At 44.3% G+C, this 16215-nt stretch overlaps 1 protein-coding gene across 11 annotated transcripts in view, besides 2 other annotated features; it reads right to left on the minus strand.

Annotated features, from left to right (window-relative positions):
- Window positions 1–16215, minus strand: part of TRIM14 (tripartite motif containing 14) — an 83426-nt gene that overhangs the window by 61360 nt on the left and 5851 nt on the right. For 9 of the 11 annotated variants that reach the window (XR_929880.4, XM_047424162.1, XM_047424161.1 and 6 more), the window contains exons 2-3: window positions 12733–12828; window positions 2775–3008 (exon numbers count right to left, since the gene is read on the minus strand). Coding sequence is in view for 10 of the 11 variants with exons in the window: in XM_047424162.1 (XP_047280118.1) it covers window positions 2775–3008; window positions 12733–12828 (330 nt within the window). In the remaining variant the exon portion in view is untranslated. Of the gene's footprint in view, window positions 1–2774; window positions 3009–12732; window positions 12829–12912; window positions 14542–16215 lie in introns of those variants that run through there. The other 2 variants (XM_047424163.1, XM_047424164.1) reach the window with 2 other exon arrangements.
- Window positions 4490–4539: an enhancer, noted in NCBI's record as "active region_28689". NCBI's record gives its function as "activates an Ori minimal core promoter by ATAC-STARR-seq in GM12878 lymphoblastoid cells {active_cell/tissue: GM12878}" and the evidence as "EXISTENCE:reporter gene assay evidence [ECO:0000049][PMID:35858748]".
- Window positions 4800–4919: an enhancer, noted in NCBI's record as "active region_28690". NCBI's record gives its function as "activates an Ori minimal core promoter by ATAC-STARR-seq in GM12878 lymphoblastoid cells {active_cell/tissue: GM12878}" and the evidence as "EXISTENCE:reporter gene assay evidence [ECO:0000049][PMID:35858748]".

A 16215-nucleotide genomic window follows, 5' to 3' on the forward strand; every position in this document is an offset into this window, starting at 1 on the left:
GCATTCTAGCCTGGGCAATAGAGTGAGACCCTGTCTCAAAAACAAACAAACAAACATTCCTGTCTCCTATCTCATTACAGGACAAAGTCTGAACTCCATGGCACATAAGGCCTTCATGAACTAACTATGGCCTATGGATCCAGCTGTGTCTCTCAATCCCCCCACCCTTATACCCTCACCTCTCCTCAAGTCAGGCTGCACCCCAGCTGGTTCCCCAGCCTGTCAAGCTCTCACATGTACACAGTTCCTGTCTGTCCTCTCTGCGTCCTCTCTATATACAGTGTGCTCCTACTCATTGTCCAGCACCCAACCCTACCATCACCTCTTCCTAGAAGTCTTCCCAGACTGCATCCTTCTCCCAGCCAGAGAGTGTCAGACATTTCTTGGACATAATTTTGCTAGCTTCATATTTACAAAATTGTTTAAGCTGTATTGTAAATAACTGTTTCTGAGCAAGTCCCCCACCCAACTGTGAGCTCCTAATGTCCAGCAAGTGACCTGGCTCAGTACATATTGATGAATAAACGAATGAACACATAGAAGGTGGGAACGGTGAATGATTAAAATCATTAGCTGTGGCCCAAGAGAATTTGAAAAAAAAAGATGACAAAGCCCTGAAACCGTTTTCTGATGTGAGAATAGCATGCTTCTCCATGGAAGGATTCCTTTGTATTCCATAGCCTTAAAAACGACCATTATTTAAAAAGAGACAATTACATGTAACACTTTGTGCATCTTGCCTCTCTTAAAGCACAACACCCATTATGCCTAGGAAAACACTTCATCCAGAATTTGGCTCAAACAGCTGACAATGAGACACAGGCTGAACCGACTGAGGCCACATAAAGACACAAGAGTGGAAATCCCCAGCTGGAGACTGGCTTGGCGGGTTTTGTGTTGACTGGCTTATTTGTCTGTCTTATTTTCCAGCCAGAGCCCATACTAATCTGTGGTTAGAGTTGGTGCCACTTTTAGTTGTACCCTGCCTTGTCCCACAGCCTTTAAAGTGTCTTGTGAAGGTCCTCTAATAAGGCAAGATTTTTCTTTATAGCGAGAAAAATGAAGCTAAGAGAAAATTAGACACAAAGTGTTTGCCATGAAGCCTTAGTCTGGTTAGTCAAAGCAGATTTGGCTCTGAACTTCCCAAGGCAAAGAAGGAAACAGGAGGAGCTCTATTAGTGGAAAAGCAATTCTAGTGCAGAAGTGACTGCACAGGGATATTGACACCAGACAACAGTTTCTTCCACGGTTCCCTAAAGACAGGAACACCATCGGCCGGGTGCGGTGGCTCACGCCTGTAATCCCAGCACTTTGAGGGGCCGAGGGGGGCGGATCACGAGGTCAGGAGATGGAGACCATCCTGGCTAACATGGTGAAACCCCATCTCTACTAAAAAATACAAAAAATTAGCTGGGCGTGGTGGGGGGCGCCTGTAGTCCCAGCTACTCGGGAGGCTGAGGCAGGAGAATGGTGGGAGGTGGAGCTTGCTGTAAGCCGAGATCACACCACTGCACTCCAGCCTGGGCGACAGAGCAAGACTCCGTCTCAAAAAAAAAGAAAAAAGTAGACAGGAACACCATCCTCAACAACATGCTTTCTCTAAATGTAGCAATGACTATCCCTGGGGCTAGTTCTTTTCTTTTTTTTGAGACAGAGTCTCACTCTGTTACCCGGCCTGGAGTGCAGTGGCATGATCTCGTTACTCACTGCAATCTTTGCCTCCCCGATTCAAGTGATTCTCCCACCTCAGCCTCACAGGTGCACGCCATCACGCCTGGCTGATATTTGTATTTTTAGTAGAGAGGTGGTTTTGCCATGTTGGTCAGGCTGGTCTCAAACTTCTGGCCTCAAGTGATCTGCCACAGGGGCTATTTCTTAGACTCTTCCTCAACAAAGCCCAGTGGCCAAGGAGTACCATTGAGCCAGCTGTGACTCAGCCTTTGAAATGTGCTCAGTAGCTGCAAGGACACCTGCCTTTTCAGGTGGGGTGTCTCAATTTAAGACTATAAAGGCAGGCTGATTGCGGTGGCTCACACCTATAATCCCAGCACTTTGGGAGGCTGAGGTGGGCGGATCACCTGAGGTCAGGAGTTCAAGACCAGCCTGACCAACGTGGAGAAACCCTGTCTCTACTAAAAATACAAAATTAGCCACGCATGGTGGCACATGCCTGTAATCCCAGCTACTCAGGAGGCTGAGCCAGGAGAACTGCTTGAACCCAGGAGGCAGAGGTTGTGGTGAGCTGAGATCGCACCACTGTACTCCGGCCTGGGCAACAAGAGAGAAACTCCATCTCAAAAAAAAAAAAAAAAAAAAAAGACTGTACAGTCAGAGGGCCAGGCAGGGTCCCTTGTGGGTTTAGAGTCAGACAGACCTAGACAGACAGCCAGACCTGATACCAGCTCTGCTACCTACCTGCTGTGTGAGACCAGGTGAGTCACTTCACTGAGCCTCAATTTCTTGTTTATAAAATGGGGTGAGCCCACTTTGCAGAGTTCTGGTGAATATTAGTGCTAAACTACACAGTGCTCAGGACACAGGGGCCTTTGAAATTGGTGGCTGTTAATATTATTTAATTAGCCCAAGAGGTGTATTATCTTCCTAACAATGTATATTCTCTTGACCACCTGTGTGGGGGCAAGACAGTCTACATGGTGACAAGACAATAGTCCATGTACTTGCTTAGTGTGTCAATACTGTGCTCAATGCCACAATACTTGAGATGAAGTGTGGGTGGCAGGTGGCAGCAGTAAGAGCAGTGACCCCAGCATTACCTGAAGCCTCTGGACAGGATCGGGCTCCTGGCTGATACTCCAGACCCTGTTGGAGAGATCATTCATGATGTCAAGTTGCTCTCTGCAAGAGTCAGCTTGTTCCCTGTACACCTGGAGGGTAAGCTGCGTGTTTTTATCAATGAATTTCTTGGCCAGCGCTTCCTCTTCGTCAAGTAGTAATCTGAGTTCAGTGAATTTCCCCTTCAGCCAGGTTTTACTTGACTCTGCATTAGCCTAAAAACAGAAAAACCAGTTGCAGATGACATGTCTGCCAACCAGGAAATCCAGAATAATCAACATGAAAAAAATCATAACGTCTGAAATGTGAGTTCAGTAAAGTGGCCAGTCAGACACAAGATCAACTTATAAAAACCAAAGCTTTCCTAAGCACCAGCCCATCACCGATCGTAAAATGCACGGAGAAATAAAGATCCTTTTGAAAATGGGAGAAAAAATAGCAAAATATGTGGAAATATACCTAATACAAAACCATATTCGTGACTGGGAGGGTTGATTACTATAAAGTCACTATTTGTCTCTAAATTAGTCTATAAATTTGATGAAATTCTAATCAAAATCTTAACATGCTGATTAAAAATTATTAAATCATTAGGAGAGAGAATAAGCATAAGAAAAGCCAAAATTGCTTTAAAAAAATCAATAAAGAGAAAACTGATAAGAGGTTATCTGCCTTATCTGCCTTATCTGATAACAAAACAATAAATCTACAGGATCTAAAACCATGTGGCTCAAGCATAGATAAGAGGTCAAAAGTACAAAATAAAGAGCTTTTAAAAGAACTCAAATTATATATGGAAATGTATGTATGTGTATGTGTGGTGTAACAGTGGCATTTTAGAACAAATTTTTGTATTTTTTGTACTAAAAATATAAAAGTAAAAATAATTAAAATAATATGAGATTTTCCACAATGAAAGGTTAAGGAAAACAAACAAAAGAGAAGGTCCAGTTAAACTAAAACACTGTACATAAAGCCCAAAGAATAAATCAATTAGATGAAATACAAAACAATTTTTATTTATTTATTTATTTATTTTTATTTTTTGAGAAGGAGTTTCACTCTTGTCCAGGCTGAGTGCAGTGGTGCGATCTTGGCTCACAGCAACCACTGCCTCCCAGGTTCAAGCGATTCTCCTGCCTCAGCCTCCTGAGTAGCTGGGATTACAAGCACGCACCACCACACATAGGTAATTTTGTATTTTTAGTAGAGACGGAGTTTCACCATGTTGGTCAGGCTGGTCTTGAACTTCTGACCTCAGGTGATCCACCTGCCTCAGCCTCCCAAAATGCTGAGATTACAGGCATGAGACACCATGCCCAGCCCAGAAAATAGTTTTTGATCATTAGATTGGAAGACTTTTAAGAGACTGAAATACAGTCTGTAAGGGTATGTGAAGTAGGGCATTTATATAAACTGTGGGTGGTAGGGTCTATTGGTACTTCGCTTTTAGAGGACAATACGACAATAGCTATCAATTTTTTTTTTTTTTTCAGACGAAGTTTTGCTCTTGTCGCCTAGGCTGGAGTGCAATGGCAAGATCTCGGCTCACTGCAACCTCCGCTTCCCGGGTACAAGCGATTCTCCTGCCTCAGCCGTGTAGCTGGGACTGCAGGTGGCCATCACCATGCCTGGCTAATTTTTGTATTTTTAGCAGAGACAGGGAGTCACTGTTGGCCAGGCTGGGTCTTGAACTCCTGACCTCAGGTGATCTGCCTGCCTTGGTCCCCCAAAGTGCTGGATTACAGGCATGAGCCACTGCACCTGGCCTCAAAGTTTTAAATACATTTATTCTTTCATGCAGCAATTCCTCTTACTTTACTTATATCCTAGAAAATGCTTTCACATGTGCATGAAGATTTGTGTACCAAGATTCTCAGTATATAGCTTCTACACATAGAGAATAGAATTGGGCAAGTGTAGTGGTAGGTGTCTGTAATCCCAGCTACTTGGGAGGCTGAGGCTTGAGAATCACTTGAGCCCGGGAGGTGGAGCTTGCAGTGAGCTGAGATCAGGCCGCTGCACCCCAGCCTGGGCGACAATGCAAGACTTTGACTCAAAAAAAAAAAAAAAAAAGAAAAGAAAAAAACATTGAAAAATGGGCGTCACTAGCAGAAACAGAAACAACAGCAGTGGGGAGCGAACGTTCTGAGAAATAGGGTCAACCACAAACAGCTCACTAGCACTCAAGCATCCTGTTACAAGCACTCAACTCACAGTCCACCTGCACCCAGGCATCCTGTCTGCAAGCATTCAGCTCAAGCAGCACAACCTTAGAAAACTCCACCTCCAGCTCCTGCCTCTTTGCAGACAGTCTTCTTTCTGCTGTCTCACCCATTGCTCCCTTTCAATGTATCTCCCCCTTTTCTCTAAATAAATCTGCCTTTCTAAACTCAATGCTGTTTTGGTAAATTATTTTATTCCCCTGTGCACCAGCCTCAGACAGTTGTTAACCATGACATATTTGGCACAATTTTCAATATGGGATATGTATATCGGTTCATTATATAAATTGTCCTACATTCGTACAATGAAATAATTTATAGCGATTACAAAGAATGCAGTGTGCTGATGCATGCTAAACATGGATGAACCTCGAAGACATCATCCCCAGTGAATTAAGCCAGACAAAAAAGGACAAATAATTTATCATTCCGCTTATGTGAAACATCTAGACCAGGCAAATTTATAGAGACAGAAAGTAGAGTCGACGTTACCAAGGGCTGGGAGAGGGGAAATGGGGAGTAATTGCTTGATGGTTTCAGAGTTTCTGTTTGGGATAATGAAAAAGTTTTGGAAGTAGACACAGGTGATGGCTATACAACATTGTGAATATAATTCATACCACTGAATTGAATACTTTAAAATGGTTAAAATGGCAAATTTTATGTTATGTATATTTTATCACCATAAAAAAAAAGAAGAAGAAAATATAACAACAAAAACAATGCAGTAGGCTGGGCGCGGTGGCTCACGCCTGCAATCCCAGCACTTTGGGAGGCTGAGGCGGGCAGATCATGAGGTCAGGAGTTCAAGACCAGCCTGGCCAAGATGGTGAAACCCTGTCTCTACTAAAAATACAAAAAAATTAGCCGGGCGTGTGGCGGGCGCCTGTAATCCCAGCTACTCAGGAGGCTGGGGCAAAGAATTGCTTGAACCCAGGAGGCGGAGGTTGCAGTGAGCCGAGATCATGCCACTGCACTCCAGCCTGGGCAACAGAACGAGACTCCATCTCCAAAAACAAACAACAACAACAAAAAACAATGCAGTAGACCTATATGTCCTGGCAGGGAAAGTTCTCCAGAAAAAAAAAAAACAGGTGAAAAAGAACAAGCTGCAGAATAATATAAGCAAGATAATCCAAATTTATGTAAAACATAATAAAACAAAACCTGTATATGGACATATGTATACATCTATATATTTGCAAGTGCAATTAAAATGTTTGTTAGTAGTGGTCATATTTGGCAAGAGGCATGGGATTGGGGGTAAGGGAAAAGAGAGGCTCTCACTTTGTACCTTATGTAGTTCCATACTATACCATTGTTTAAATTTTAAAAAATGACAATTTGTTCATGTATTATTTATACAATTAAAAAAACACTAAAGCTGGGCACGGTGGCTCACGCCTGTAATTCCAGCACTTTGGGAGGCTGAGGCGAATGGATCACGAGGTCAGGAGATGGAGACCATCCTGGCCAACATGGTGAAACCCTGTCTCTACTAAAGATATAAAAAATTAGCCAGGTGTGGTGGTGGGCACCTGTAGTCCTGGCTACTCGGGAGGCTAAGGCAGGAGAATCGCCTGAACCCGGGAGGCAGAGGTTGCAGTGAGCCGAGATTGTGCTACTGCACTCCAGCCTGGCAACAGAGCGAGACTCCGTCTCAAAAAAAAAAAAAAAAAAAATTAAACATAGGCCAGCTCCCTTCCTCAGCCCAAACATCTGCACAGTCCACATAGCAGAATGAACCCAGCACCCAGCCAGTCACGAGGGGTGGGCAGGCTCCCGTGATACCGTGTTCTCAGGGGGACAGCATGTGGTTTGGCAGCAAACAGGAGATGAGTTCTCTAAATCTGTGTTTCCTATCCAATGCTCCAGGCAGAGGATAGGTTCAGAGGCTAGCTCATACCACAGGCCTATGGATAGGTTCAGAGGCTAGCTCATACACAGGCCTATGGATTATAGCTTTAAGCTAGCCTGGGAATTAGTCCACATTTTTATGGTTGCAATGGGTCAATGAGCCTGGACACAAATATATATTTACTGAATGATCAAATGAAGAAAATAAAATGTATTTCAAACTCTTGATTTATGAACACATGTTGAAGCAACGTAAGTACACAGAGGACCTTTGCAGAGAAACCAAGAGAGCAAATATCTCCTCCCAACCAAGTTATGCTCCAAGCAGTTTTTATAGATCCACTTTGTAAAGTAGAAAATACAAAAGAAGCTTCACGACGCTATACCTTGTTCTAACTCTCAGCACAGTGGCAACCAGTATGGAAAACAGCCACCAGAAAACTTCTTGTATAAGCAGATGAGGCTGATTATGCAATATGGTCAGAAAGGGGTAGAGAGAGAGAGGGAAGGGGAGAGAGAGAGAGAGAAAGAGAGCAAGAGAATATCATGGTCATGAAATAAGGAAGTACGCCATCTGGTTTGGGTCCCACTGGTTCAAAGTGAAGATCCCAGCTGAACTGGGCTGGGCTTTGAAGAGAGCTGGTGGCTGGGTGAGGGCCTAACAGAGTCTAGCTGAGCAGGGTCTAAGGACTGTGGAAGAGAAAGAAGCTGAACAGCCATGAAGCCCCGGTCAGGGAAGGCTGGGGGATTTTGCACTCAGAGTGTGGGCTGCTGTGTGAATCCACCTCTGGGTCCTGTGGAGAGTGAGGAGATGAAAGGAGGGCGCTGTTTTGCTGAAAACTCAGTATGACTTCCAACAACCCTCCCACGGATGCCTCTCATGGGATGCACCACCAGGGAAAGAAGGCATGCTGTCCAACCTTGCCCAGACCACGTTAGCATGGGGACTCTTTAGACTCTGCTATGGTGGCAATGGCAGGCAGGAAGAGGCAGGGAGTGGCCATGCCCAGCAGGGGCAATGGACACCAGTGGCCTTGTCAGCAGCATGGCCTGGCAGGGTCCCCATCTTTTTGTTCCCAGTCTGGCAAAGGCTGGTTCATGTCCCCCCATTGGTGCCTTGATCCCAAGCCTTGGCTCAGTCCCTACAGCTCCTGCGGGTCACAGAGAAAGGCATGGAGCCAGCAACTGAGGCTCCTTATTCCACCCGCAGGGGTTCTGGGTCTGGTGCCAGGCTGGGCCCTTGTGTCTCAGGCCCATTTCCTGCCCATCCCCGGCTCTGCTCTGTAGGACAGAGGGGCTGAGCCCCGCCGACTGCATTTTCAGGATCACTTGACGTCAGGAGTTCGAGACCAGCCTGGCCAACATAGTGAAACCCGATCCCTACTAAAAATACAAAAATTAGCCAGGCACGGTAGTGGGCACCTGCAGTCCCAGCAATTCGGGAGGCTGAGGCAGGAGAATTGCTTGAGCCCAGGAGGCGGAGGTTGCAGTGAGCTGAGATCACGCCACTGTGCTCTAGCCTTGGCAACAGATCGAGACTCTGTCTCAAAAAACAAACAAACAAACAAAAAAACAAACAAACAAAGTAAATTCACTGATGCCAAAACCAAAGAGGAAACACAGTGTGAGTGACCTGGCAGGAGCTGAAGCTAAGTGACCTGGAAGGAGTGGAGCCAGAGGTGCATGCATGCAGACGAAAGCCACAATGGGGCCTGGCCATCCAGGGGGAGCACAGAGTACCTGGCCACATTCCAGCTGAGAGTGGAAAGGAGTGACCTGCATCAAGTCAGATCCACAAAGAGCTGCTCCATCCATCAACTAGCACCAGAAAAACTCCACCCCCGGGCCCAGGGAAAAGAAGAGGAATCTAGTCATTCATCCAGGGTCACAGGTGAAAAGAAAATCACCAGCAAAACAAATAAAACAACAGTTTTGCATTAAGCAGGGTTGGAGTCCAAATTCACGGAAACTCAAAACTGAAAAATAATATGAAAATGAGTCTGGAGCTACTGAAACTCTTAGCATCTCCTGAAGATGCTCATGTCACAGTGCTCTGAAGGGGCACACTCACAATCCACAGTGTATTGGACATCTATGGTAAATAGCTACTGGAGACAAGATGATAATACACGTGACAAACCACACAAGAAAATGAACCACCATGCCTCACCTCCAGATTGGGGATATATTAGAATTGTATGTACAATATAACTCAAGCTACATTAAAAGCATATGCATATACAGGAAAAAAATCTCAAAATGTGAATAATGGTTGGCCTGAAGTGGCAGGATGCAGGATTATGGATGAATTTTTAAAAATATGTTTCTTGATCAGGAATTGAATATAAATGCTCACAGGAGCCAGGTTGTTAACACTGAAGGAAGTGGGCAGGGTGGAGCTGGGAGATCCCATGCCATGGGAGTAGCCATTGCTCAGCTCCATCTGCCCCCACATGAGAGTGCAGGCATAGGGTGGCAATATCTTTCTAATTTCCTAACTATAAATTTTTATACAAATATGTCTCAGGTTTAAAATGCTGACTATTAATTCCATTTTTCTTATTACCTTATGAAGGCCACTTAGGTGTTAGTCTAACAAAACATACAGAATTTGTATGCTGAAAATTACAAAATGCTGATGAAAGAAAACAGAGATCTAAATAAATGGAAAGATATACCATATTCATGGATTGGAAGAATACATAGTAAAAATGTCAATTCTCCCCAAATTGATAAACAGGTTTAACACAATTCCTATCAAAATCCCAACAAACTCTTTTTCTTTTCTTTCTTCTTTTTTTTTTTTTTTTTTGAGACATGGTCTCGCTCTGTCACCCAGGCTGGAGTGTAGTGGGTATGGTCATTGCTCACTGCAATTTCAACCTTCTGAGCTCAAGCGATCCTCCCACCTCAGCCTCCTGAGTAGCTGGGACTACAGGCATGTGCCACCATACCTGGATGATTTTTTAGTTTTTTGTAGAGATGGTAAACAAGCACATGAATAGATACTCAACATCACTAGCTACTGGGGGAATGCAAATTAAAACCATGATAAGGTATCACTACACACAGATTATGCAAGTTAAGATAAAAACTTGTGACAATACCAAATGTTGTCAAAGATGCAGAAAAACACACTCTCATGCATTGCTGGTGGGAATGTAAAATGGCACAACCACTCTGGAAAAGCGTTTGGCAGTTTCTTAAAAAACAAAACAGGCAGGTGCCATATGACCCAGCAATAGCATTCCTGGGCATCTAACACAGATAAATGAAAACTTATGTCCGCACAGAAACCTGGACACAACTGTTCAAAGAAGCCTTATTTGCAATAGCCCTAGACTGTACCAAACAGCCTACAATAGGTAAATGGTTTAAAAAACCTCTATGGTACATGCATACTATCGGATTAGTGGAATATTACTACTCAGCAATACATGGGAATGAACTAGTGGTTCTTGCAACAACTTGGGTGGATCCCAAGGGCATTCTGCTGAGTGAAAAATACCTCAAAAGATCATTTTCCATTTTTATGACATTTTCAAATGCAACAATTATCAAACAAATTAATAATTGCCAGGGGTTAGGGATTGGTCGGGGGGATACAGTGGGTAGGGAGGTGACCATAAAGGTGTAGGTAGATTTTTTTTTTTAAGATGGAGTCTCGCTCTGTCATCCAGGCTGGAGTACAGAGGCATGATCTTGGCTCACTGCAACCTCCACCTCCTGGGTTCAAGCGATCCTCCCACCTCAGCCTTCTGAGTAGCTTGGATTATAGGCGCCACCATTCCCGGCATTTTTTTGTATTTTTTTTTTAGTAGAGATGGGGTTTCAACATGATGGCCAGGCTGGTCTCGAACTCCTGACCTCAAATGATCTGCCTGCCTCAGCCTACCAAAGTGCTGGGATTACAGGCATGAGCCACCTCGCTTGGCCTAGAAGAAGGTAGAACTTGGCAGTGATGGAATAGCCTGCATTTTGATTGCAGTGGTGGTTATGCAAATCTATACATGTGATAAGTTGACATAAAACTATACACACATACCATCCTTTTTTTTTTTTTTTTTGGATAGTGTGCTATAGTTATGTAACAAGTAACCCTTGGGGCAAACTAGGTCAAGGTACACAAAACTCTACTATTTTTGCAACTTCCTCTAAATCTATAAAAAGTTAAAAAGTTAGTTGGGGAAAGGGTCAAGAGAAAGAGAACCATGGCTTAGATTAAGCTGAAACCTACCCCAGGCCATCCCTCAGGCCAAGCTTATCCAACCTGCAGCCTGTGGGCCGCATGTGGCCCAGCACAGCTTTGAATGTGGCACAACACAAATTTGTAAACTTTCTTAAAACATCATGAGTTTTTTGGATATTTTTTTTTTCTTTAGCTCATCAGCTATTGTTAGTGTTAGTGTATTTTATGTGTGGCCCAAGACAATTCTTCCAGTGTGGCCTGGGGAAGACTAGACCCTCCACATGGGTCCTAATTCTTGGGGGCCCTCAAACCATATCTGCTCAGGCATTTGCAGACAGGGAGCCTGATCTTCAGGCCTCCCCACAACCCTTCCAACGTGACAGCTTTCACTTTCTAAATCCTTTGGTACTGTCTATCTCCTAGCCCAGAGTTCTGCTTGTGAAGACATGAGAGACACTATTAAGCTGGGACCACAGGTGTGAACTACAAACGTCTTCAGGGTACTGGCAAACTGTCATGAAGACAACTGACAGAGAATGGACTTTAGGCAAATGTGGGAGCCAATTCTGTGGCCTGGCCTGGTCACAGGAGAAACTGGGTGCCAGCTTCTCCCATGGTCACAGCCACTCCTCCTCTTGTGTGAATCAGTCAGGGGTTCCTTTTTTTTTTTTTTTTTTGATAGGGTTTTGCTCTGTTGCCCAGGCTGGAGCACAGTGACGTGATCCTAGGTCACTGCAGTCTCAAGCTTCAGGGCTCAAGCGATCTTCCCACCCCAGCCTCTGAAACAGCTGGGACTGCAGGCGTGCACCACCATACCTGGCTATTTTATTTTATTTATTTTTAGTAGAGATGGGAGTCTCACTATCTTGCCTAGGCTGGTCTCGAACTCCTGGGCTCAAGTGATCCTCCAGCCTTGGCCTCCCAAAGTGCAGAGCAGGGGTTCTTCCAGCTCTCAGTGGGGCAGGCCCCAGGAGGGCCTCCCACCCCAGCCCTCACTGCGAGGAGGGAGCAACAGAGGATGAAGGGGAGGAGGGAGCAACAGAGGATGAAAGGGGGAGGGAGCAACAGGATGAAAGGGGGAGGGAGCAACGGAGGATGCAAGGGGAAATGACCAGCCCCTGAGGCCCTAAAAACACAACAACTTTGTCATGTCAAAATGGTTACTTAGAATAACATCAGCCTCAAGTTCCCATTCAAAATCCACAGAGAATCCACTCAAACATCATTATGAAAGGAGAGTGAAGAAAGTACCTATTTGTGGAACAGATCTTACCCTACTTGCTTTCTTTCAGCATGGCAGTGGAATTAAAGAGATATCTGCATATTCCTTAAGCTGTGTTTTGCTTTGTTTAAGGCAATTTGGGATAATGGGCTAATTCCTCCAAGAGACTGGCAGATGACACTAAGGAACCAGAGATTTGCCACAAAGCAAAGGAAACCGGAGCTCAGGGCCCCTCACTTGCAGAGCCCCTTCATGGTCTTGCACCTAATTTTGTCTGTAATTTTGTGTTCTTTTTCTAAAGAACCCTGAATTATAGAAGCTCCAGGCCCCACCATCTGCCCCTTCGCAGTTGGTTTTTATTTTCATTGGCTCCATATTGGGGGTCCCTTTTGTCTGGGGGGAAATGTGGGTCTTTCCATGGGTATGAGGAAGAAATGTCCACTTGCCTTGAGCTTCTCGGTGGCATCTTCTATCTGGGTTATGTTGTCAATGTGCTGCTGCTTCTTGATTGCCAGCTGCTTTAAACATTCTTGGCTGAGTTTCTGTACAGGAGGGAGTTAGGAAAAAAGTCGTAATACTGTCACTTTCCAAATAACAGGCCCCCCACAGGGGTCACCTCCTCTTACCCTTGTATTCTTTTCCAATGGAGGCATCTGAAGGTGAGGTAACTTGCCCAAAGTCATATGGCAAGTTGGTGGATGAGCTGGGACTAGGACATCTCTGATCCTCGGAGGTCCACATCAGGTATGCCTCTAATCTTGATTTGCACCCCTTCCTCACACTTTACTTTATCTAGGACAAGTCTTGCCTGTGACTTGCTTTTCCAGCCTTTCAAGTGGGACTTTAAGGCAAACAGCTTGGGGTCTGGGAAAGAACATCTACTTATGGAGTATTAACTGAGCACCTATTATGTGCTGGGCCCTGTTCCAGGTGCTGCCCTCATGAAACATACATTCCAGGGAGTCTGTGACCCTCTGGCCCTGGACTACGTGAGAGGTCAGTGGGGTTCATGCTTCCTGCTCTTCCCACCTTCCATATCTCTGCTTTTTGAAATTGCTTTTTTCCCCAAAGTCTGCTCTGCACTCTCCTTCCCCAAGGGTGTGATCTCGTCTCCATCTTAGCCTTTCTTACAGCTGGCCTTACACTCAGCTGCTGGGCCCAGATCTGGCTGCCCCATTGACTAGGAGCTTCTTGAGGGCAGGCTCGCTTCGTTCTCACTCCCCACAGGGAGCAGGGTGTGACCAGAAGTGTTTGCTGAATTGAACAGAATTATCAGGGGCTGGTCAGGCATGGTGGCTCATGTCTGTAATCCCAACACTTTGGGAGGCTGAGGTAGGAGGATCACTTGAGCCCAAGGAGTTCGAGACCAGCCTGGGCAACATAGTGAGACTCTGCCTCTACCACAAAAAATAAAATAAAATAAAATAAAATAAAATAAAATAAAATAAAATAAAATTAGCTGGGCATGGTGGCATGCACCTGTAGTCCTAACTACTTGGGAGGCTGAGGTCAGGGGCGGGTCACCTAAGCCCAGGAGGTTGCAGTGAGCCATGATCATGCCACTATGCCACTGCACTCCAGCCTGGGCAACAGAGTGAGACCCTGTCCCCCCCCCCAAAAAAAAACAATTATCAGGTGCTGCTAGCTTCTTTCCCAACCAGCCAGAGAACTCTTCCAGGTCAGGGAAGGATCTGATCTGTTCTTTGACTCATGGCCCAAAATATATGCTGAATAGATGTTTGGTGAATGATGGATGGATGAATGAATAATGGGTGAATGGATAGGAAAGTGGGTATGTGGATGCAAAATGAATATTCATAGTGTCAACCTTACGTAATGAAATTCAAGAGCTGAGCATGGTGGCTTGCACCTGTAATCCCAGCTACTCAGGAGGCTGAGGTGGGAGGATCACTTAAGGCCAGGAGTTTGAGACCAGCCTGAGCAACATAGCTAGACCCCATTTTTACCAAAAAACAACAAACAAAACAAAACAAAAAACCTGGCTGGGCATGGTGGAGAATGCCTCAAGTTCCAGCTGCTTGGGAGGATGACATTCACAGGCTATAGAAATGATTAGCAAAGAAATAAATTGATGGTGGCTAGCTTTGTTTAATGAACTATTCAGGCAAAATTGTTAAGAATGAAAAAATTAAATAAATGTAAATGAGATCAAAGTTTATAAATGAACATTTCATAGTTTTAAAAGTTGTTTTCAGGCTGGACACGGTGGCTAACGCCTGTAATCCCAGCACTTTGGGAGGCCAAGGCAGGCAGATAACCTGAGGTCAGGGGTTCGAGACAGCCTGACCAACGTGGAGAAACCCCGTCTCTACTACAAATACAAAATTAGCCAGGCATGGTGGCGCATGCCTGTAATCCCAGCTACTCGGGAGGCTGAGGCAGGAGAATCACTTGAACCCAGGAGGCAGAGGTTGCAGTGAGCCAAGATCACACCATTGCACTCCAACCAGGGCAACAAGAGTGAAACTCCGTCTCAAAAACAAACAAACAAAAATTGTTTTCAGTAACTTAATATCATGTTATGTTAAATGAAGTAATAGGTCATTATAAAACGTCTGAATCATTTATATGGTATAGAAAAGCTAAATATATTTCGATCTGTTAACAAAAAAAAATTGAGGAGCCATCTTTCTAGAAATTATGAAATTATTTTCATCTACAAATGCTGGTAGAAAACAGCTAAAAATTACTTACTTCCTAGGTTTTTCACTGGAAATTTGGGTTACTAAGAGTGAAAATTGTAGTTAACATATGTGATTAAAACTACTTGATATAAAAGAAACAGTTCTATTTACAGAGTGTATAAAGTCAGATGTGTTTTTGGTAAAGACTGTTGAAAGAGAGTAATTTTTCTTTTGCATGAGAGAGAACTTTGTGTAGTCAAAATGATAATGGGAAAAGGGAAGTAAATTTTTGTCCTAAGGTAGAATGCCAAAATAAAAAGGAAGTATAGGACAAAACTGAAGATTTAAGCAAATTCTAGAAGGTCTGTGGAAGATTAATCTCACAAAAGACATTTTGTATGTGATCAAATTGGTTAAAATGAGAAGGAAATGGCAGGGTGTGGTGGCTCCTGCCTGTAATCCCAGAACTTTGGGAGGCCGAGGCAGGCAGATCACGAAGTCAGGAGTTTGAGACCAGCCTGACCAACATGGAGAAACCCCGTCTCTACTAAAAATACAAAAATTAGCCAGGTGTGGTGGTGCACGCCTGTAATCACAGCTACTCAGGAGGCTGAGGCAGGAGATCACTTGAATCTGGGAGGTGGAGGTTGCAGTGAGCAGAGATTGCGCCATTGCACTCCAGCCTGAGTGACAGAGCAAGACTCAATCTCAAAAAAAAAAAAAAAAAAAAAATCAGAAGGAAATGGCCAGGCGCGGTGGTTCATGGCTGTAATCCCACCACTTTAGGAGGCCGAGACAGGTGGATCACCTGAGGTCAGGAATTTGAGACCAGCCTGGCTAACATGGTGAAACCCCGTCTCTACTAAAAATATAAAAATTAACTGGGCATGGTGTTGTGCACCTGTAGTCCTAGCTACTCGGGAGGCTAAGGCAGGAAAATTGCTTGTACCTGGGAGGTGGAGGTTGCAGTGAGGCAGTTCATGCCACTGCACTCCAGCCTGGGCAACAAGAGCGAAACTCCATCTCAAAAAAAAAAAAAAAAAAAAAAAAGAAGGAATTTTTTATAAGTTTTTCTAAAACTTAAGTATTAATATCAAAAGCACACTCATGTAAGGCCAGAGTCTGGGCTCCTGTGTTGGAACAACCAGGTTTTATCAGAGCATTGATCTGCTCTTTAATAGAAAATGGTGAGAGATTATCGATTATCTTATCTTGTGTAGTCAAAGCTGACTGAAATTGGATGATAGATAATATACTAACACCTAAGTAATTTTTTTCTTTTTT

This window comes from Homo sapiens, chromosome 9, assembly GCF_000001405.40.
Source record: "Homo sapiens chromosome 9, GRCh38.p14 Primary Assembly".
Classification (NCBI taxonomy): domain Eukaryota; kingdom Metazoa; phylum Chordata; class Mammalia; order Primates; family Hominidae; genus Homo; species Homo sapiens.